Below are 23,829 nucleotides of genomic sequence, written 5' to 3'. Positions count from 1 at the left end.
TGTGTCTTGGGCCAACTCCTGGCTTGTTTTTCTGGAGCAGGTGAGGATCACCTACATCCTTTAAGAGTGAGGGTGAGGTGTGTTCAGGGCAATTGAAATTTCCAAGAGCTAAGACACTTTCTAGCTCTGGCCAGTCTTGGTGTCTTTTTGTCCTGAGCCTTTCTCCACTTCCCAACCTGAGCACTGCTTCCTTCCAGCAGGGCTGCTCTGCTGTCCCCCCATGGTCCAGGCTGTGCTGCTCCTCTGCTGTGTCTTGCTGCCCCTGGTAGCTGCCTTTCCAAGAAATGCCCAAAGTGGGGCCCTAACCTTCCAGCTGTCTTTTCCAGAGACTGGGCATCCATCTCCCATTTCTGGGAGAGCCAGATTCCTCTCCCAGATCCCAGGACCAGCGAGGATCTCTTACACACAGCCCCATCCCTAGCCCCTCTGCCTGAGTACCTGTCCAAATTAGCTCTGAGGGTGGCCTTGGAGGAGGTGGGCTGCCCAACTGAGGCCCATGTTCTGTAGCTTCAGCTCATTAGGATGGGAGGAAAGGATACTACTGAAACCCTCATCCATGAGAGTCAAAAGCTCAAGGAGGAGGAAGTGATTGGCAATACTAATATCATCGTGAGGGATCTGGGGAGAACCCCAGGGGAGCTTATGCGGGTCCAGCACTCCCGTTACCCTTCCTGAGGCATATACCTATAGATATGGGCAGGTGCTGTATGAGACAGCAGTGCTGATGTTTGAATTTACTAAGAAGCTCCCTTCCCCTAAGCTGGTAACAGCTTCTGCTGTCAGTGTCACCCAGAAGTGCACGGATGAGTCTTGGGAGCATTTGGAAGAAGTAGGCAAACGGCTGATGAATAACTCTGAAGTTAAGAACTTCACAATGGCCAGGCGCAGTGGCTCACACCTGTCATACCAGCACTTTGGGAAGCTGAGGCGGGTGGATCACAAGATCAGGAGTTCAAGACCTGCCTGGCCAACATAGTGAAACCCTGTCTCTACTAAAGATACAAAAATTAGCCAGTGTGGTGGCATGTGCCTATAGTCCCAGCTACTCGGGAGGCTGAGGCAGGAGAATCACTTGAACCCGGGAGGCGGAGGTTGCAGTGACCGAGATCATGCCACTGCGCTCCAGCCTGGCAACAGAGCGAGACCCCGTCTTGAAAATAAATAAATAATATCTAGTTAATAATTTAAAAGAAAAAAAAAAGAACTTCACGAGGCCAGGGCGAGGGTCAGGCCCAGTCAGTGAAGGGATGCGGGGCGCCGTGGTGCTCACACGGAGAAGTGCGGCAGAGGGCACCTGCCTTAGCAGGTATGCAAAGACGCGTTTTCACCCAGGTGTCCTTAGAGATAACTTGGATGAGCCCAGAGTTATCCTCTGGGTGCAAGCAGAACCCTTTATAGTGGGTGCCTTGCAGGTCCCCCGCTCCATCCAAGTTTAGTCTTCACTATCTCAGGAAGATATTCAACTATGTGCGAATCCGGGCCACAGAAGGATCTTCCCCACGCCTCTACTGGTCTACATGGAGGCACATCGCTTGTGGGAAGCTGCAGTTGGCCAAGGACCTGATGTGGCTTTACTTTGAAATATCTGATAGTCTTTCAGTGAAGATAGCTGAGGAGTGCCTGGAATGGTCTGAGGTTTTGTCCAACTGCATGTCTGAGGAGGAAGTTGAAAAGCAGAGAAATCAGCTTTCAGTGGACACCCTGCAGTTTCTGCTCTTCTTATACATTCAACAATTGAACAAGGCCTCTACTAAGGACATCTTTGATTGGAGAAGAGTGGCCTAGTCCCAGAAACAGATCTCAGTCTCCTGACCTGACTGAAAAATCTAATTGTCATAATAAGAACTGGAATGATTACAGATATCAAGCTTTTGTCTATGATCATCTGTCTGATCTCCCGAGCTGCTTTTAGATCCAGGACAACTCACTGCATCATTTCGTTCAAACCATAGTAGTCTAGTGTCTCAAGAAGCTTCCTTATTGAAGGTAGAATAAGAAGCGCCAGGAAGATCTATCCACTTCATGAACTTGCACTGTGGTAACCACTGCATGCAGATAGTGGCTTCTCAAAGATCTCTAAGACTTTCTACAAGCTGGAACCCTGGTTGAGGTCCTGTTTGACTGGGAATCCATTTGGTACATCAACTTGCCTCAAGTCTGGAAAGAAATTGGCTTGGGCTCATCAAATTGAAGGGACAACCAAAAGAGCTAAGATTGCTTGTAATTCTTCTTCTTTTTTTTCCTTTTCTTTTTTTTCTTTTTTTTTTTTTTTTTGAGATGGAGTCTCACTCTTTCACCCAGTCTGGAGTGCAATGGCGTGATCTCTGCTCACTGCAGCCTCTGCTTCCTTGGCTCAAGCGATTCTCCTGCCTCAGCCTCCCAAGTAGCTGGGATTACAGGTGCCCACCACCACACCAGGCTTATTTTTTTATTTTTAATAGAGACAGGGTTTCACCATGTTGGCCAGGCTGATTTTAAACTCCTGACCTCAAATAATCCACTTGCCTCGGCCTCCCAAAGTGCCGGGATTATAGGCATGAGCCACCACACCTGTCCCAGATTACTTGTAATTCTAATGTGGCCCCTAGGATACACCACATGATGGTGATGAGCCAGGTTTACAAGCAGACATTGGCTAAGAGCTCAGATACTCTGGTGGGGACACATGTAAAGATTCATCATTGCAACGAATCTTTTATATATCTACTCTCTCCCTTATGATCTGTGACAATTGAGAAGTGCAGGACTAGCACCTTTGTCTTGGGCCCTGTAGCAACTATGATTTACCTCCACAGTTGTGACAACATTAAAGTCATTGCTGTTTGCCATCGTTTGTCCATCTCTTCTACGACAGGTTGCGTCTTTCACATTCTGACGCCTACGTGCCCACTCATTCTCTCTGGGAACAAGATAGTAACTTTTGCCCCTTTTCATACCCATTACCCAATGCTAGGTAATGGACCCAGCATTAATCCTGGTCAAAAGAGAACCATATGGCCAGGACTGGCCTTGCTACAGTGCCTAACTATTGGGATAATCTAATGGTTGTGTGCGGAAAGAACAGCGACACAGGTGTCTTCTGGCTTTTACCACCTTCTGAATTCTATATATTTACTACTCCCTTTGAAATGGAAGAGGGCACAACAGGGATTCCTGGGAGTCTTCCATCTGTATATCAGAAAGCACTGGGTCAAAGAGAACAGAAGGTACAGATCTGGCAGAAAACTGTGAAGGAGGCTCATTTGACATAGGATCAAAGGAAGCAGTTCCAGGTACTGATAGAGAACAAGTTTTTGTTTTTGTTTTTTCTTTTGAGACAGAGTCTCGCTCTGTCGCCCAGGCTGGAGTGCAGTGGTGTGATCTCAGCTCACTGCAAGCTCCGCCTCCCGGGTTCACACCATTCTCCTGCCTCAGCCTCCCGAGTAGCTGGGACTACAGGCGCCCGCCACCACACTGGCTAATTTTTTTTTTCTTCTGTATTTTTAGTAGAGACAGGGTTTCACCATGTTAGCCAGGATGGTCTCGATCTCCTGACCTCATGATCCACCCACCTTGGCCTCCCAAAGTGCTGGGATTACAGGCATGAGCCACCGCGCCCAGCCAGAACAAGTTTTATGAATGGTTGATTAATACAGGACATCGCCAACAGCTGGACAGCCTTGTACCCCCTGCAGCAGGCTCCAAACAAGCGGCTGGATAAGGATCTTCCATGGAAACACTGGGCCCTGGAAATACAAGGATAAATGGAGGATGGTGCTCATCTTGAAACTAAAGCGGGAAGGTGCTCTTGCTGCTTAAGAGACATTGGGACTTTTTCATCCTATTTAAGAACTTTATTTGATTTCCATTCCATATTCATTTATTACTGTGTAGGCTGAATTTTAGCTAAACTTCTGACTTTCGTATAAACATATTGTTTATAGAACATCAGAAGACTCATCTTTGTGATGCCCAACTGAAAAAGTTGATGAAGGTAGTAGCATTGTATATATGTTAATATTAACACAATTGAGTGTAGATTTGCAACTATACTGTGTATATTAATTTGTATGATGAAAGAATTTCATTCTTTCTAGAGTTAAATAAGAGTTTTATAGTTCTTTGTAACTACAAGGAAATTGCGACCGGGCACAGTGGCTCATGCCTGTCATTCCAACACTTTGAGAGGCTGAGGCAGGTGGATCACCTGAGGTCAGGAGTTTGAGACCAGCCTGGGGCCAATATGGTGAAACCCCATCTCTACTAAAAATGCAAAAATTAGCTGGGCTTGGTGGCATGCCCCTGTAATCCCAGCTACTCAGGAAGCTGAGGTGGGAGAATTGCTTGAACACGGGAGGCAGAGGCTGTAGTGAGCTGAGATCACGCCACTGCACTCCAGCCTGGGCAACAGAGCAAGACCCAATCTCAAAAATTATATGAATACATAAATAAATAAATGGAAATTGCTACACCTTTTAAAAAATAATTGGAGGCCAGGCACGGTGGCTCATGCCTGTAATCCCAGCACTTTGGGAGGCTGAGACAGGCGGATAATGAGGTCAGGAGATCGAGACCATCCTAGCTAACACGGTGAAACCCCGTCTCTACTAAAAATACAAAAAAATTAGCCGGGCGTGGTGGCAGGCACCTGTAGTCCCAGCTACTTGGGAGGCTGAGGCAGGAGAATGGCATGAACCCGGGAGGCAGAGCTTGTGGTGAGCCGAGATCGCACCACTGCACTCCAGCCTGGGCGACAGAGCGAGACTCTGTCTCAGAAAAAATAAATAAAAATAATTGGAAGGAAAGTATGATTTGTTGGTATATAGATATAGCAGAAATAGTTTTTATTATATTTTAGTCCTTAAAGTATGGAACTTAATGAAACTGTGTAAAAACTTTTTTTTTTTTTTTTAAGAGGGAGTCTCGCTTTGTTACCCAGGCTGGAGTGCAGTGGCATGATCTCAGCTCACTGCAACCTCTGGCTTCCAGGTTCAAGCAATTCTCCTGCCTCAGCCTCCCAAGTAGCTAGGATTACAGGCACCCGCCACCATGCCCAGCTAATTTTTGTATTTTTAGTAGAGATGGGGTTTCACCATGTTGCCAGGCTGGTCTCAAACTCCTGACCTCAGGTGATCTGCCTGCCTTGGCCTCCCAAAGTGCTGGGATTACAGGCGTGAGCCACCATGCCCGGCCTAAAAATATTTATTTTTCATTTTCTGCTTCAAATTTTCAATAAACAAACTCTAAAGAATAAAAAAAAAAAAAGAACTTTGCAATGCCTATATATAGAAGATCAGATGTACTTTTTCTTTCTTTTTTTTTTTTTTTTGAGACGGAGTCTCGCTCTGTCGCCCAGGCTGGAGTGCAGTGGCACAATCTCCGTTCACTGCAAGCCCCGCCTCCCAGGTGCACGCCATTCTCCTGCCTCAGCCTCCTGAGTAGCTGGGACTACAGGCGCCCGCCACCACGCCCGGCTAATTTTTTGTATTTTTAGTAGAGACAGGGTTTCACCGTGTTAGCCAGGATGGTCTCGATCTCCTGACCTCATGATCCACCCGCCTCGGCCTCCCAAAGTGCTGGGATTACAGGCGTGAGCCACTGCGCCCGGCCCAGATGTACTTTTTCATTCGTGCCACGAAAATTCTGAAACTCATTTTACTGGACTTGATAAAGAAATATTTTCAGGCTTATTTAGAAATATGTTCAGGCTGATTTAGCCTACCACTACATTTACTTTCTCAAATGTCTCTGATAGACCTGTGTACAGAGACTCAGCATAGCATAGCAGGTAGTTAGAAATGTTGAACAGAGGAGGAGAAAGAAGAGGAAAAAAGAATGATGGGAACAGCTTAGGACAGATGTATGTTCACTTGATTCCAGAGCTAAAAGACATGTGACTAGAATCAGTTTTGCCCCTCTCTTAGTAGTTCCTAGCTCCTATTTCTTCTCCCCAATTTATCTTTCTTTCAGTTGTCAAATACTGTGGATTTATTATGTACTAGATATGAAGGGTATTATCTTTCCCCATTCATCTTCTTTGTACTTTCTAACTCCCCACCCGAATGCTGTAGCTTGCTTATGTTAATTTGCAAACTGAAAAGAGAAATAAAAAGCTGCTTTTATATCAGAATCACAGTTTTCTTATTTCTCTTGACTCTGGGTCTCTGTGGCCTCTTTTGTGAACTGGAGGTGAAATGTGACAGGGACACGGAAATGCCAATGTCTTTTGAGGCTGAAGATTTTAACAAAAGGACAAATATTTGTAGAGATTATGTCCCTTAACTGAGTATCGGGGAAAACAATCACCTCCCCTCCTCATGGGACAGGGAACTGGGCAGAGTGTCTACACCTATCAGAGCAGTCCCACTTCTCACTGACGGGATTGTGTAGTAATTTGGGCCTCATAATTAGGAAGTGAAGCAGAGGAAGTCTGGTGATCTGGAATGGGGAGACCAAGAAGAATAATTGAGTCCCATTCTCTTTTCTTGGGGCCAACTTAAAAGGAACAGAAGCTGAAGGTTATTGCATGAGATGTCTTCTGAGCCCTGGGCTCCTTTCAGACCAGGAGAAACAGTTTGAGTATTGTCATTCATTCCAGCATAGTCTGACTCAGCAAGGCATCACCTAAGACCCAGGATGACTGCTCCTTTACTGCCTCCTGCTGCATCCTGTGAAACCTAGATAAACACCCTTGGTGCCATTTTTCTAATCTCTAGGGATTCAGATGCGCTCTGTAGGGTCTTAACTATGCCAGACCCTGCTCCCAAAGACCTTTCCTGGCCTCACCCACTTGGTCCTTCTACCAAGGATCCAGATAGACCTTGCACTGAGGATTGCCCTGGAGCACGCTGACCACCAGGCTAACTCCCAGACCCCAGAGCTTCATCTCTAGGCTGGAGGATGTGAAAACATGCGGTGTTTATTCAACCAGATACAAGGTGCCATAAGGACAGCAGCCCAGGTAGATGCTTCCCAGGGGATATCTTGATGTCTGTTCTGTAGCTGCTAGGCAGGGTTCAGCCTAATTCAGAGCAAGTGTACCTTTTCTACTGTAGACTGTGGGCATGAGCAGAAGCAGCATGTCTGTAATGCAGTCTAGCTGTCACCAGGAGTGGGAATCTGCTACAAACTCAGGCACAGCTTTGTACTCTGCTGCTCAGAACTACTCTGTCAAACCCAAGGAATGAGGCAGATATGGAGCCATAGATCTTGGCTGTGACCTCCTGATGATCATACTGAGGCTGTCAGGGGGATCCACAGGCTCTCTGTGTTAAACCTGCAGTGAAGGCTGGGATTCACAGCTAATCTAGTATCCCTATCAAAAAGAAGCAAACAGGCCGGGCGTGGTGGCTCACACCTGTAATCCCAGCACTTTGGGAGGCTGATGCGGGCAGATCATGAGGTCAGAAGTACGAGACCAGCCTGACCAACATGGTGAAACCCCGTCTATACCAAAAATACAAAAATTAGCTGGGCATGGTGGTGCGCACCAGTAGTCCCAGCTACAGGGGAGGCTGAGGTGGGAGAATGGCTTGAGCCTGGGAGGTGGAGGTTGCAGTGAGCCTGTAGTCCCAGCTACTCAGGACGCTGAGGCAGAAGAATTGCTTGAACCCGGGAGGCGGAGGTTGCAGTGAGCCAGAAGGAGCCACTGCACTCCAGCCTGGCGACAGAGCAAGACTCCAGCCTGAGCAACAGAATCAGACCTTGTCTCACAAAAAAAAAAAAAAAAAGGAAAAAGGAAGAGACACCCAGAGTGTATGGGGATAGAGGAATGGCCATGTGCCATGTGAGGACACAGTGAGAAAATGGCAATCTGCAAGCCGATTAGAGAGGCCTCAGGAGCAACTGAAACTGCTGACACCTTAATCCTGTACTTCCAGACTTCAGAACTGTCAGAAGTAAATTTATATTCCATAAGACATCCAGGCTGTAGTTTTGCGTTATGGCAGCCCTAGCCGACTAAGACACTAAGCATGGGTCTTTATTCATCTATTTTCTGTTACCCTGTGAGTTCACTCAACTGGAAAACTTATTTTCTTCATCTTAAAAAATCTCCTAGAAAAAAATCATTTTCTCACTTCCTTTTTTTTTTTTTTTAGTTTAGTTTTTGTACGGTAAAAAACACATAGCAAGCCAAGCACGGTGGCTCACGTCTGTAATACCCCAGCACCTTGGGAGGCCAAGACGGGCAGATTGCTTGAGCAACCTAGGCAACATGGCAAAAACCCGTCTCTACAGAAAATACAAAAAATTAGCAGGTGGTGATGCATGCCTGTAGTCCCAGCTATTCGGGAGGCTAGGGTGGGAGGATCACCTGAGTCTAGGATGTCGAGACTGCAGTGAACCATGATCACCCCACTGCACTCCAGCCTGGGTGACAAAGACCCTGTCTCAAAAGAAAAGAAAAAAAAAACACATAACAAAATTTATCATCATAACCATTTCTTTTTTTCTTTCTTTCTTTTTTTTTTTTTTTGACAGAGTCTTGCTGTCACCCAGGCTGGAGTGCAGTGGTACAATCTCAGCTCACTGCAACCTCCACCTCTCGGGCTCAAGCAATTCTCCCTGCCTCAGCCTCCGCAGTAGCTGAGATTACAGGTGCCTGCCATCACACCTGGCTAACTTTTGTATTTTTAGTAGAGGCGGGGTTTCACCATGTTGGCCAAGCTGGTCTCAAACTCATGATCTCAGGTGATCTGCCCACCTCGACCTCCCACAGTGCTGGGATTACAGGCATGAGCCACTGTGCCCAGCCCACAACCATTTCTAAGTGTACAGTTCAGTAGTGGTAAGTATATTTACATTGTTGTACAACCCACATTCAGAACTTTTTCTCTTGCAAAATGGAAACTGCATATTGGTTAAACAACAGCTGCCTATCTTCCCCTCCCTGAAGCCTGTGGCAACCACCCTTCCACTTTGTTTCTATGAATTTGAGTACTGTAAATACCTCACATAAGTGGAATTATACAGGATTTGTCTTTTTGTAATTGGCTGATTTCACTTATCATAATAGCCTCAAAGTTCATCCATGTTGTAGCTTGTGTCAGAATTTCCTTCCTTCCTTTTTTTTTTTTTAAGAGATGGGGCCTCACTCTGACACCCAGGATGGACATCGACCTCTGGGCCTCAAGCAATTCTCCCACTTCAGCCTCCTGAGTAGCTAGGACCACAGGCATGAATCTCCACACCCCATTAATTTTGTTTATTTATTTTTTTTAGAGACCGGACCTGACTAAGTTGCCCATCCTGTTCCTTCCTTTTTAAAGCTGAATAATTCTCCATTGCATGTATGCACTTTTTTTTTTTTTTTTTTTTTTTTTTTGAAACAGAGTCTCACTCTGTCGCCCAGGCTGGAGTGCAGAGGTGCAATCTCGGCTCACTGCAACTTCTGCCTCCTGGGTTCAAGTGATTCTCCTGCTTCAGCCTCCCTAGTAGCTGGGATTACAGGCACTTGCCACCATGCCTGGCTAATTTTTATATTATTTTTGTATAGACGGGTTTCACCATGTTGGCCAGGCTGGACTTGAACTCCCGACCTCAAGTGATCCACCTGCCTCAACCTACCAAAATGCTGGGATTACAGGCATGAACCGCTGTGGCCATCCACCACCAAGTGGATTTTTAAAATCCATTCGTTCATTGAGAGACATTTGGGTTGCTTCCATTTCTTGACTATTGGGAATAGTACTGCTATGAACACAGATGTGAAAATATCTTTTTGAAATCCTGCTTTCAATTCTCTGGGATATATATCCAGAAGTGGAATTGCTAGATTGTATGGCAATTCTATTTAAAAATTTTTAAGGGCCGGGCACGCTGGCTTTTGCCTGTAATCCCAGCACATTGGGAGGCTGAGGTGGCGGGCAGATCACTTGAGGCCAGGAGTTCGAGACCAGGCTAACCCACATGGTGAAACCCCATCTCTACTAAAAATACAAAAAATTAGCCAGGCATGGTGGTGCATGCTTGTAATCCCAGCTACTTGGGAGGCTGAGGCAGGAGAATCCTTGTACCCAGGAGGCAGAGGTTGCAGTGAGCCAAGATCACGACATTGCACTCCAGCCTGGGTGACAAAAGTGAAACTCTGTCTCAAAAAAAAAAACAAAACAAATTTAAGGACCTGCCATACTGTTTTCCACAGGGCCTGTACCATTTTGCATTCCCAACAACAAAGCACAAGGGTTCCATTTTCTCCACATCTTTGACAACACTTGTCGTTTTCTCTTTTTAAAAATAATAGCTATCCTAGTGGGTGTGAGATAGTATCTCATTGTAGTTTTAATTTGCATTTCCCTAATGATTAGAGATGTTGCACATCTTTTCATGTCCTTATTGGCCATCTGTATAGCTTCCTTAGAGAAATGCCTGTTCATGCCCTTTGCCCATTTTGAGTCAGGCCATTTTTGTTTTTGTTGAGTTTTAGGAGTTCTCTATTTATTCTGGATATAAATCTTTACTAGGTATATAATTGCAAATATTTCCTCCCATTCTGTGGATTGCCTTTTTACTCTGTTGATATTGTCTTTTGGTGTACAAAATTTTAAAATTTTCATGAGGTCCAATTTGCCCATTTTTTTCTTTTGCTGCCTGTGTCTTTGGTGTTATATCCAAGTAATCATTGCCAGATTCAATGTCATGAAGATTTTGCCCTGTGTTTTTTAGTTTGTTTGTTTGTTTGTTTTTTGATATGGAGTCTTGCTCTGTCGCCCAGGCTGGAGTGCAGTGGCGCAATCTTGGCTCACTGCAAGCTCTGCCTCCCGGGTTCATGCCATTCTCCTGCCTCAGCCTCCTGAGTAGCTGGGATTACAGGCACCCACCACCAAACCCGGCTAATTTTGTTTTTGTATTTTTAGTAGATACAGGGTTTCACTGTGTTAGCCAGGATGGTCTCGATCTCCTGACCTCATGATCTGCCCGCCTCGGCCTCCCAAAGTGCTGGGATTACAGGCATGAGCCACCGTGCCCGGCCTCTATGTTTTCTTCTAAGAGCTTCATAGTTTTAGCTCTTATATTTAGATTTTAGATCTATTTTGAGTTAATATTTGTATAGTGTTAAATCATGGTTCAACTTCATCTTTTTGCAGGTAGATACCAGTTTCCTATGGCAACATTTGTTAGAAAGGTTGTCTTTTCCCTCATCAAATAGTCTTGGCACTCTTGTCAAAAATCATTTGACCATATATGCAAGAGTTTATTTCTGGGCTCTCTATTCTATTCCATTGGTCTATATGTCTGCTGCTATGCCAATATCACACTGTTTTGATTTATAGTAGCTTTGCAGTAAGTTGTGATATCAGGAAGTTGTTCGTTTTCAATATTGTTTTGTCTATTTGGGGTCCCTTGAGATTTTATATGAATTTTAGGATGGGCTTTTCAATTTCTGCAAAAAAACATGATTGAGATTTTGATAGGGATTGCGTTGAATCTGTGGATCACTTTGGGTACTGTTGGCCTCTTAACAATAGTAAGTCTTCTAATCCATGGACATGGAATGCATTTTCATGTATTTATATCTCCTTTAATTTCTTTCAGCAATGTTTTATAGTTTTCATTGTATAAACCTTTTAACTCCTTGGATAAATTAATTCCTAAGTATTTTATTTTTATCCTATTGTAAATGGGATTGTTTTCAAAATTTTATTTTCAAATGGCTCATTGTTAATATGTAGAGATGCAAGTGGTTCTTGTTTCTTGACTTGTAATCCACTAATTTGCTGAATTCATTTATCAGTTCTAATAGTTTTTTGTGTGAAATCTTTAGGGTTTTCTACATATAAAATCATAAGAAGTAGCCGGGCGTGGTGGTGTGTGCCTGTAGTCCCAGCTACTCAGGACGCTGAGGCAGAAGAATCGCTTGAACCCGGGAGGCGGAGGTTGCAGTGAGCCCAGAAGGAGCCACTGCACTCCAGCCTGGCGACAGAGCAAGACTCCGTCACCAAAAAAAAAAAAAAAAAAATTCATAAGAACAAGAGATAATTGCACTTCTTCCTTTTCAACCTGGATGCCTTTAATTTCCTTTTCTTGCCTAATTGCTCTGGCTAGAACTTTTAGGGCTATGTTGAATGGAACTAGCAAAAGTGGGCATCCTTTTCTTGTTCCTGATATTAGCAGAATAGCCTTTAATCTTTCACCATTGAGTATGATATAATGTTTGTTATGACTTTCTCATACATGCCTTTTATTATATTGAGGTAGTTTCCTTTTATTCCTGGTTTGTTAAATGTTTTCATCATGAAAGGGTGTTGAATTTTGTCAAATGCTTTTTCTGCATCAATTAAGATGATTGTATGATTTTTCTCCTTCATTCTGTTAATGTGGTGAATTATATTGATTGTTTTTCGTACACTGTGCCACCTTTATATTCCAGGAATAAATCCCACAGTGTATAATCCTTTTAATACATTGCTAAATTTGGCTTGCTGGCATTTTGTTGAGGATTTTTGCATCAGTATTCATAGGAGATATTGGTGTATGTTTTCTTTTTTCCTAGTGTATGTCTGCCTTTGGTATCAGGGTAATGCTCACCCCTGGAATGAGTTAGGAAATGTTCCTTCTCTTTGATCTTTTGGCAAAGTTTGAGAAGCATTAGCATTAATTCTCCTTCAAATGTTTGGCAGAATTCACCAGTGAAGCCATCTGGTCCAGGGCTTTTCATTTTGGGGAGATTTTTGATTATTGATGCAATATCTTTAATTCAAATTTTCTATTACTTCATGATTTAGTCTTGGTAAGATATATGTTTCTAGGAATTTGTTCATTTCATCTAGATTATCCAATTTGTTGGCATGTAATTGTTTAATTACTCTTATAATTCTTTTAATTTTTGTAAAATGTAATGTTCCCACTTTCATTTTAACTTTAATAATTTGAGTCTTTTTATCTTTTTTTGTTGTTAGTGTAGCTAAAGGTTTGTCAATTTTGTTCATCTATTTGAAGAACCAACTTTTGGTTGCACTGATTTTCTCAATTGTTTTTCTCTTATCTGTATTATTATTTATTTATTTATTTATTATTATTTTGAGACAGAGTCTCCCTCTGTCACTCAGGCTGGAGTGCAGTGGTGTGAAGCCTCTGCCTCCCCTGTTCCAGTGATTCTCCTGCCTCAGCCTCTCAAGTAACGGGGGTTACAGGCATCTGCCACCATGCCTGGCTAATTTTTGTTTTTTTGTTTTATTTATTTATTTATTTAGAGACAGAGTCTAGCTCTGTTGCCCAGGCTGGAGTGCAGTGGCATGATCTTGGCTCACCGCAACCTCCACCTCCCAGGTTCAAGCAATTCTCTTGCCTTAGCCTCCCAAGTAGCTGGGATTACAGGTATGCACCACCACAGCTAATTTTTATATTTTTAGTAGAGACGGGATTTCACCATGTTGGCCAGGTTGGTCTTGAACTCCTGACCTCAGATGATCCACCTGCCTTGGCCTCCCAAAGTGCTGGGATTATAGGTGTGAGCCACTGCGCCCAGACAATTTTTTTTTTTTTTTTTTTTTTTTTTGAGACGGAGTCTTGCTCTGTCGCCCAGGCTGGAGTGAGTGCAGTGGTACGATCTCGGCTCACTGCAACCTCCACCTCCTGGGTTCAAGCAATTTCCTGCCTCAGCCTCCCGAGTAGCTGGGACTATAGGCGTGTGCCACCAAGCCCAGCTAATTTTTTGTATTTTTAGTAGAGATGAGGTTTCACAGTGTTAACAGAATGGTCTCGATCTCCTGACCTCGTGATCCACCCACCTTAGCCTCCCAAAGTGCTGGGATTACAGGCATGAGCCACCTTGCCGGGCCTATTTTTAATTTTTTCACAAGTATTTGTGCCTAAAGGTATTCTCTGTTTTATTTATCTCTTCTCTAATCTCTATTATTTCCTTCCTTATAATAGTTTTGGGTTTAACTCATTCTTTAATCTTCTTTAGTCTCCTTTAATCTCTTTTAGTAATGTTTTGTAGTTTTCTTTTCTTTTAAAAAAAAACCTTTTTATTATGGAAAATTTCAAATATATAAAAAAGTAGAGAAAATAGTCTATTAAACACCTATTTCTCATCACCTAATTCCAAGAATTATCAATTCATAGTCATATACTCCACATTTTCTCACCTCCACCATTTTCAAGCAAATAATATATTTTCATCCATAAGTATTTCAGTATGAATCTCTAAATGATGAGAGCTCTTTTTTTTCTTTGACTTTTTTTTTTTAATACTTTAAGTTTTAGGGTACATGTGCACAACGTGCAGGTTTTTTACATATGTATACATATGTCATCTTGGTGTGCTGCACCCATTAACTCATCATTTAACATTAGCTATATCTCCTAATGCTATCCCTCCCCCTCCCCCCACCCATGTAGTTTTCAATGTACAAGTTTTACACTTATAGCTGCTATTATAAATGCAATTTTCTTAACTTCATTTTCAAATTATTCATTGCACATATATAGAGATATCATCGATTTTCGTGTATTGATAGTGTATCCTGCAACTTAGCTGAACCCATTTATTAGTACTTATTTTGTGTGTGTGTGTCTATGTGTGTGTAAGTTTGAGTTTTTTTAATATGCAACATCATGCTACCCACTAATATAGGTTGTTTTACTTCATCCTTTCTAATCGGGTACATTTTATTTCATTGTCTTGCTTAATTACTCTGGCTGGAACCTCCAGTACAATGTTGAATAGAAGTAGCAAGAGTGAGCATCCTTGTCTTGTTTCTTCTTTTAGGAATTTTACTTGTTTATTTTAAACACTATTGTAATTGGAATTTTTTTTTTCATTTTATTTTTCTGTAGAAACAGGGTCTCACTATGTTGCCAAAGCTGGTCTCAAATTGCTACCCTCAAGCAATCGTCCCACCTCAGCCTCCCAAAGTCCAGGTGTTACAAGCTTGAGCCATGGTAACCAGCTGGAATTTTCTAAGTTAATTTTCTTTTTTTTTTTTTTGAGACAGAGTCTTGCTCTGTTGCCTAGGCTGAAGTGCAGTGGCGCGATCTTGGCTTACTGCAACCTCCGCCTCCCGGGTTCAAGCGATTCTCCTGCCTCAGCCTCCCGAGTAGCTGGGATTACAGGCGCCCACCACCACACTCAGCTAAATTTTTTTCTTTCTTTTCTTTGAGATGGAGTCTCACTCTATCACTCAGGCTGGAGTGCAGTGGCGCGATCTCGGCTCATTGCAACCTCTGCAGCCCAGGTTCAAGCGATTCTCCTGCCTTAGCCTCCTGAGTAGCTGGGATTACAGGCACACACCACCACGCCCAGCTAATTTTTGTATTTTTAGTAGAGATGGGGTTTCACCATGTTGGCCAGGGTGGTCTTGAACTCTTGACCTTGTGATCCACCCGACTCAGCATCTCAAAGTGCTGGGATTACAGGTGTGAGCCACCGCGCCTGGCCAATTTTTTGTATTTTTAGTAGAGACAGGGTTTCACTGTGTTAGCCAGGATGGTCTTGATCTCCTGACCTCGTGATCCACCCACCTTGGCCTCCCAAAGTGCTAGGATTACAGGTGTGAGCCACCGCACCCGGCCCTAAGTTAACATTCAATGTATGTTTTTAGACTACAGAAATAGAATTCATTTATATATTAATATTTTATCTTGTCACCTTGCTAAATTAACTTATTGGTCCTTTTAAAATTGTATTCTTTAGGATTTATGCATAAACAATCACATTGTTTCTTTTAATTTTTTATTTTTTAATTATTATTTTATTTATCTATCTATCTATCTATTTATTTATTTATTTATTTGAGACAGGGTCTCCCTCTGTCACCCAGACTGGAGTTCAGTGGTACGATCACAGCTTACTGAAGCCTCAACCTCCTGGGCACAAGTGATCCTCCTGAGAAACTGAGACTACAGGCGTGTGCCACCACAGCTGGACAGCTGAGCTGGCTAATTTTTTTTTTTTTTTTTTTTTTTTTTGCAGAAACAGGGTCTCCCCTATGCTGCCCAGGCTGGTCTTGAACTCCTGGACTTTGGCCTCCCAAAGTGTGTGAGCCACCATGCCTAGTCCATGTTGTTTTTATTTTGTATTACTTTTTTAAATTTTATTATTATTACTTTTTGAGACATGGTCTCACTCTGTCACCAAGGTTAGAGTGCAGTGGCAGAATCATAGCTCACTGTAACCTCCCCCTCTTGGGTTCAAGCAATTCTCCTGCCTCGGCCTCCCGAGTAGCTGGGGCTACAGATGCACACCACCACCCCTGGCTGTGTTTTTTATTTTTTGTAAAGATGGGGTTTCACCATGTTGGCCAGGCTGGTCTCGAACTCCTGGTCTCAAGCCCCGCCCCATGTCTTTTTTTTGTTTTTTTGTTGTTGCTGGTTTTTTTTTTTTTTTTTTTTTTTAGATAGACTCTCACTCTGTTGCCAGGCTGGAGTGCAGTGGCGAGATCTCGGCTCACTGCAATCTCTGCCTCCCGGGTTCAAGTGATTCTCCTGCCTCAGCCTCCCGAGTAGCTGGGATTACAGGTGCGCACCACCATGCCTGGCTAATTTTTTGTACTTTTAGTACAGACGGGATTTCACCATGCTGGCCATGGCTAGTCTTGAACTCCTGACCTCGTGATCTGCCCGTCTCAGCCTCCCAAAATGCTAGGATTACACGCGTGAGTCACTGCGCCCAGCCCCCATGTTGTTTTTAAGAGTCTCATGTTCTACCGACTGAGCCAGCCAGAGCTATGTTGTATTTAAATAAATATCGTTCTACATCTTCCTTTCTAGTTTTATGCCATTTATTTTTTATTCTTTCCACATTACACTGGTTAGAACTTCCAGTACAATGAGGAAAAACTGGTAAGAATGGATATTTCTGCTTTGTGATAGATCTTAGGAGACAAGGATTAAATCTTTCACTCCTTCTAGTGTTGCTACACAGAAACTATAGAGTCCTAGGAGGCTGGGTGCAGTGGCTCAGCACTCTGGGAGGCCTAGACAGGAGGATCCCTTGAGCCCAGGAGCTCGAGACCAGCCTGGCCAACATAGTGAGTTCCCTTCTCTACAAGAAAATTTTAAAAATTAGCCAGGTGTGGTGGTACGTGCCTGAAGTCCCAGATATATAGGAGTCCGAGGTGGGAGGATTGCTGGAGCTTGGGAGTTCAAGGCTGCAGTGAGCTGTGATTGTACCAACTGCACTCCAGCCTGGTATACGTGTATGTGTGTGTACGTATATTTTATCCATGTAGGTATATGTATATATATTGTCTTAGGGATTCCCCAGGGGTTTGGGGTCTAGTAATTTCAGACAGTGTTGGACTCCTTTCCACTTAGTTCTTGCTGTTTCTAAGTTGGCACTGTGTCCCTGGAGACTTACTCCTCTGCTTCTGTCTTTGCTCTTAGTTGTCAGGGGCCACTCCTGGGAACTGAAAGAACCGAAAAAAATAGAGGGAGGGACCCTGGACCCTGCCATTGGCCTAGTCCCTTTGGCCATGTGCCTGAGGTGAGTGACATCAGAGGAAACTTTAGGCCATAATGATATGTAGGAACTGGTACCATTTTTAGGAGGCATCAGATGTCTTATTTCCCTAATTTTTGGACTAATGTTACCCCTAAACCCAAGATAAAGCCTAATTCCTGGAGTTTTGGTTAGATTTGGAAAGTTACTGCTCAGCTGATGGACATGTTTTATTTGTGTTTTGCATTGGAATTAGAAAAGTGAAAAATAAACCAGGTGCAGTGGTTCATGCCTCTAATCACAGCACTTTGGGAGGCTGAGGTGGGAGGACTGCTTGAGACCAAGAGTTCAAGACCAGTCTGGGAAACATAGTGAAACCTCATCTCTACAAAAAAAAAAAAAAAAAATTTTAGCTAGGCATGGTGGTGCACACCAGTAGTCACAGCTACTTGAGAAGCTGAGGCAGGAGGATCTTTTGAACCCAGGAGTTAAACGCTGTGGTGAGCCATGATCAGGCCACTGTACTCCAGCCAGGGAGATAGAGCAATACCTGGACTGGACTCTAAAAAAGAAAAAAAAAGTTGCTCTGATTTTGTCTTATTTGTCAATCTGTCCAGTTTCCCTGGACTCCCATCCAGTATATTCTCTTTTTCAGACAAAGTCTCGCTCTGTCACCCAGTCTGGATGGTGCAGTGGTGTAATCATGGCTCACTGCAGCCTTGACCTCCCCAGGTTCAGGTGATCCTCCCACCTCAGCCTCCCCAGTAGCTGGGACTACAGGTGCATGCCACCACTCCTGGCTAATTTTTATAATTTTTGTAGAGACGGGGCTTTCGCCATGTTGCCTAGGCTGGTCTCAAACTTCTGGGCTCAAGCCATCTGCCTGCCTTGGCTTCCCAACCAATATATTCTTTTAATAAGAAAAATGGTGACCAGGCGCTGTGGCTGGCTCAAGCCTGTAATCCCAGCACTTTGGGAGGCCAAGGTGGGCAGATCACCTTAGGTCAGGGGTTCAAGATCAGCCTGGCCAACATGAAGAAACCCCGTCTCTACCAAAAATACAAAATTAGCCGGGAATGGTGGCACACGCCTGTAATCCCAGCTACTTGGGAGGCTGAGGCAGGAGAATCACTTGAACCTGGGAGGCGGAGGTTGCAGTGAGCTGAGATCGCGCCATTGCACTCCAGCCTGGTCAACAAGAGCGAAACTCCGTCTCAGAAAAAAAAAGAAAAGAAAAATGGTTTAGGGGTCCCAGAGATCACCAGCTATTCTGCCTTACCCTTTCTCCCCTCAAGAAGATACGGAGGACCTTTTCCTCAGCTCAAATATAGGTTTAGGGTAAAACCTTAGGATAGAAAAGATATGTCACTGGGTGCCGTGGCTCACGCCTGTAATCCCAACACTTTGGGAGGCCGAGGCAGGCAGATCATTCGAGGTCAGGAGTTTGAGACCAGCCTGACTGACATGGTGAAACTCCATCTCTACTAAAAATACAAAAACATTAGCTAGGCGTGGTGGCGCACACCTGTAGTCCCAGCTACTCGGGAGGCTGAGGCAAGAGAATCTCTTGAACCTGGGAAGTGGAGGTTGCAGTGAGCCAAGATCACGCCATTGCATTCCAGCCTGAGCAACAGAGTGAGACTGTCTCCAGAAAACAAAACAAAACAAAAATTTGCCAGGCATGGTGGTGCGTGCCTGTAATCCCAACTACTAGGGAGACTGAGACACAAGAATCGCTTGAACCCGGGATGTGGAGGTTGCAGTGAGCTGTGATCGTGCCACTGCACTCTACCCTGGGCAACAGAGTGAGACTGTGTCTCCAGAAAAAAAAAGGAAAAGAAAAAGAAAAAGAAAAAAAAAAAAAGATATGGGACAGGACTGCAGGGCCTAAAAGGGGAAAGGTCAGTTTGTCAGTATGGGTCAAAGGTGAGAAGGACAAAGTCTGGGCTGGGAAGAGATGCATAAATATTTGCAAATGTTTTGTCCTTCACTGTTTTGGAAGCCATCAACTTTCTGGTTTCCTTGTGATTCTGGGAAAGGGCAGATTAAAAACAGCAACAACAACAATAATAGTAATTCAGGTCATGAAGATACCAAAGCAAATGAGATGTTTGGACTGTTTTTTTCCTCTGACTTGTTTCTCCTCAAAATAGGAGGATCACCCACATCCTTTAAGAGTGAAGATGAGGTGTGCTCAGGGCAACCGAAGTTTCCAAGAGCTAAGACACTTTCTAGCTCTGGCCAGTCTTGGTGTCTCTTTGTCCTGAGCCTTTCTCCACTTCCCAACCTGAGCACTGCTTCCTTCCAGCAGGGCTGCTCTGCTGTCCCCCCATGGTCCAAGCTGTGCTGCTGCTTTGCTGTGTCCTGCTGTCCCTGGTGTCTGCCTTTCCAAGAAATGCTCAGAATGAGACTCTGACCCTCCAGCCATCTTTAACAGAGACTGGGCATCCATCAAACATGCTCTCCATTATTTGGAGAACATGGAGAGCCAGATTCCTCTCCCAGATCCCAGGATCTGCCAAGATCTCTTACACACAGCCCCCTCCCTAGCCCCTCTGCCTGAGTACCTGTCCAACTTAGCTCTGAGGGTGCCCTTGGAGGAGGTGGGCTGCCCAACTGAGGCCCATGTTCTGCAGTTTCAGATGCGAGGAAAGGATACCACTGAAACCCTCATCCGTGAGAGTCAAAAAGTTCAATGGGGAGGAAGGCAATACCAACATCATTGTGACGAATCTAGTAGTCCCTTAGGGAAGTGTGAATAAACCCAGCACCCAGCTGCCCATCCTGGGAAATGTATGGATGGTGGCAAATATACCCACTGGGGTAGCTGGCCTACCAGGTAGCTCAGATGGTGATTGAGTTTGCTGAGAAACCATCTCCCATGATGCTTGGTGTCACAGTTCAAAGTTTTGGGTGTCCACATCACCAAGAACTGCAGGTATGAGTCTTGGGAGCATATTGAAGAATTAGGCAAAAAGTTGAAGAAGCTCTCAAGATCATTTAAATTGTCCATGGACAGTGACAATATAATCTATCAAATGTTCCACAGCTATTCTGAAGTGCTTTGTGAGGAAAATGATCCAGGAATTGATCCCGGCTCATTTCAGCTATTCAATATCACATAAGTAATGAGTCTCCTTTCCCAGGACTGTATTCAAGGATGGCACACAGTAAGTAGTTAGAAATGTTGGAGACCACTTAGGACAGATGAATGCTCTTTATTTCACCTCTTCCCTTAAACACATATGTGACCAGTGTTAGCCTTGCCCCTCTCCACTTAGTAGGTGTCAGCTCCCCTCCTTTTTTTTTTTTAAGACGGAGTCTCACTCTGTCACCCAGGCTGGAGTGCAGTAGTGCGATCTTGGCTTACTGCAACCTCCACCTCCCGGGTTCAAGCAATTCTCCTGCCTCAGCCTCCTGAGTAGCTGGGACTACAGACGCCCACCACCACGCCTGGGTGTATATATATATATATATATATATATATTTTTTTTTTTTTAGTAGAGACAGGGTTTCACCATATTGGCCAGGCTGGTCTCGAACTCCTGACCTTGTGATCCGCCCGCCTTGGCCTCCCAAAGTGCTGGGATTACAGGCGTGAGCCACCATGCTCAGCCGCTAATTTAATTTTTAAAATGAAGAGAAATGAGAGTATCACAAACATCTCATCTTTCCTAATTCTGAATTTCCCTGGCTCCTATCATGAGCTTAGAGTGGGAATGTGGCAGGGACATACAGGAAATGCCAAAGAACAGGACTGTAGGCATAGAGGTTGAGTGTGTGACAAGGGGCACAAGGTTTGAGCAGCCAGTATAAATGGGCAAATATTTGCAGAGATTACATCCTTCACTGATCATAGGGGAAAGCAAATATCTCCTTTCCTCATGGGACACAGAACTAGGCAGAACAGGATCAGGAAGCGATCAAACCTACCAAGGCAGTCTCACTTCTCAATGACTGGACTGTGTGGTAATTTGGGGTCCCTATATATGGGTGGAAATAAAACAGAAGTCCCTGGTGACCTGTAAATGGGGGAGACCAAGTGGGAGCAACTGGGGTGCATTTCCTATTTCCTAGGCCTTTACCTAAAAAGAACAGAAGCTTGGGGCCAGGCGCGGTGGCTCACATCTGGAAGCCTATCACTTTGGGAGGCGGAGGTGGAAGGATCACTTGAGCCCAAAGTTCAGAACTAGGCTGGGCCAGATGGCAAAACCACGTCTCTACAAAAAATTTAAAAATTAGCTGGGCATGGTGTCACGCACCTGTAGTCCCAGCTGCTTGGGAGGCTGAGGCAGGAGGATCCCTCGAGCCCAGGAATTCAAGGCAGCAGTGATTTGTGATCCCATCACTGCACTCTAGTCTGGGCAACAGAGCAAGACCCTGTCTCTAAAAAGAAAGTACAAAAGCTTGGAAGCAGGTGATGTATGAGGTGTCCCCCTAACTGAGTCTTGGGCTCACCATCGCCCTTAGGGAAATGGTTTGTATGTTTCGGATTTCTCCCCTTTCTAGGGTACTCTGCTCCAGACATGCGTGGCCTCAGACTCATCATGATACCAGTTGAGCTGCTACTTTGCTACCTCCTGCTGCACCCTGTGGATGCCACTTCATATGGAAAGCAGACAAATGTCTTGATGCACTTTCCCTTGTCCTTGGAATCCCAGACACCCTCCTCAGACCCCTTGTCCTGCCAATTTCTGCACCCAAAGTCACTGCCTGGTTTCAGCCACATGGCCCCTCTACCCAAGTTCTTGGTAAGCCTGGCTCTAAGGAATGCCCTGGAGGAAGCTGGTTGTCAGGCTGATGTTTGGGCTCTACAGCTACAGCTCTACCGCCAGGGTGGTGTGAATGCTACACAGGTCCTCATCCAGCATCTTCGAGGGCTCCAGAAAGGCAGAAGCACAGAGAGGAACGTGTCAGTGGAAGCCCTGGCCTCTGCTCTGCAGCTGTTAGCCAGGGAGCAGCAAAGCACAGGAAGGGTCGGGCGCTCCCTCCCGACAGAGGACTGTGAGAATGAGAAGGAGCAAGCTGTGCACAATGTAGTCCAGCTGCTGCCAGGAGTGGGAACCTTCTACAACCTGGGCACAGCTTTGTATTATGCTACTCAAAACTGCCTGGGCAAGGCCAGGGAACGAGGCCGAGATGGGGCCATAGATCTGGGATATGACCTTCTGATGACCATGGCTGGGATGTCAGGGGGGCCTATGGGTCTAGCGATCAGTGCTGCACTTAAACCTGCATTAAGGTCTGGGGTTCAGCAGTTGATCCAGTATTACCAAGATCAGAAAGACGCAAACATCTCTCAGCCGGAGACCACCAAGGAGGGTTTGAGGGCCATCTCAGATGTGAGTGACTTGGAAGAAACAACTACTCTGGCTTCTTTCATATCAGAAGTAGTAAGTTCAGCTCCCTACTGGGGGTGGGCCATAATCAAGAGCTATGACTTAGATCCTGGGGCTGGGAGTCTTGAGATATAAAAGAATGTGGTAACCACAGAATTAATAACTGTACTACCCTGACAAGCTATATACATGTCTTCAAAATTTTAATCTGATTTATCCAGGAGGAAGGCTGTACAGTAAAACGTAAGAACGTAAATGTTTGGGTGTTGAAGTCACAGGGTTTGGTTTCGAATCTAGGCTCCACTTGTTAGAGCCTCGGTGATCACTGAATAGTAACTTCTTTCTTGAACTAAGATCAGTTTTGAAGTTTCTAAAGGAGATAGAATGATTTTAACCTCAATGAGTTGCCCTGTAAATTTAAAATGATACAATGAATCTAAAATGCTTATCACAGTACTTTCAATAAATAGCTATTAGCCAGGTGCGGTGGCTCACGCCTGTAATCCCAGCACTGTGAGAGGCTGAGGCGGGATGATCACCTGAGGTCAGGAGTTCAAGATCAGCCTGGGCAACATGGCGAAACCCCGTCTCTACAATAAATACAAAAAATTATCCTGGCGGAGTTATGCACGCTTGTAGTCCCAACTACCTGGGAGGCTGAGGCGGGAGAATCACCTGAGCCTGGGAGGTCGAGGCTGCAGCGAGCCGAGATCGCGCCGCTGCATTCCAGCCTGGGTGACAGAGCGAGACCATGTCTCAAAAAATAAAAATAAAAAAAAATTGTTTTCATTACCTCAGCCCTCCTCTTCCTATCCCAAGGCGTCGAAATTCCGGTCCCACCCCTTCCCATGGAGCCCTTGGCGTCTCCAGGCTCCTCAAGCTAGTTTCGGTTCCGGGGCTCACGCGCGGGTTCTCGAAAATCAGCTGTTTCAGTCTTGGGCTAGTCCACTAATTGGACTCCTCCCCTCGTAGAAAGTGCCTACTTGAACTTCTCCACCAATCGCTGAAGCTGCAGGTGTGGTTTCGGCTCAGCTTGTCCCGCCCTGCGGAGGGGCGGAGTTGCGGCGGCGCCAGTGAGCTCGCAGTCTGGGAAGGGCTTGACTGAATGGCAGCCAGTGTCGGGGTGGC

The 23,829-nt window shown here is 44.8% G+C and overlaps 1 protein-coding gene and 2 pseudogenes across 1 annotated transcript, besides 2 other annotated features; all 3 read left to right on the top strand.

Annotated features, from left to right (window-relative positions):
* On the top strand, positions 1,230–5,230 carry LOC100128676 (TBCC domain containing 1 pseudogene; annotated as a pseudogene).
* On the top strand, positions 6,611–7,313 carry APONP (apolipoprotein N, pseudogene; annotated as a pseudogene).
* APOF (apolipoprotein F) lies at positions 21,204–23,493 on the top strand. Its single transcript, NM_001638.4, has 2 exons — positions 21,204–21,331; positions 21,872–23,493. The coding sequence occupies exons 1-2, from the start codon at positions 21,316–21,318 to the stop codon at positions 22,834–22,836; spliced, it is 981 nt and encodes a 326-aa protein (NP_001629.1). The 5' UTR covers positions 21,204–21,315; the 3' UTR covers positions 22,837–23,493.
* Positions 23,472–23,561: an enhancer, noted in NCBI's record as "active region_6495". NCBI's record gives its function as "activates an Ori minimal core promoter by ATAC-STARR-seq in GM12878 lymphoblastoid cells {active_cell/tissue: GM12878}" and the evidence as "EXISTENCE:reporter gene assay evidence [ECO:0000049][PMID:35858748]".
* Positions 23,632–23,811: an enhancer, noted in NCBI's record as "active region_6494". NCBI's record gives its function as "activates an Ori minimal core promoter by ATAC-STARR-seq in GM12878 lymphoblastoid cells {active_cell/tissue: GM12878}" and the evidence as "EXISTENCE:reporter gene assay evidence [ECO:0000049][PMID:35858748]".

The sequence above is a fragment of the Homo sapiens genome, chromosome 12 (genome assembly GCF_000001405.40).
Source record: "Homo sapiens chromosome 12, GRCh38.p14 Primary Assembly".
Taxonomy (NCBI): domain Eukaryota; kingdom Metazoa; phylum Chordata; class Mammalia; order Primates; family Hominidae; genus Homo; species Homo sapiens.
This window is presented reverse-complemented; position numbering and strand designations above follow the sequence as displayed.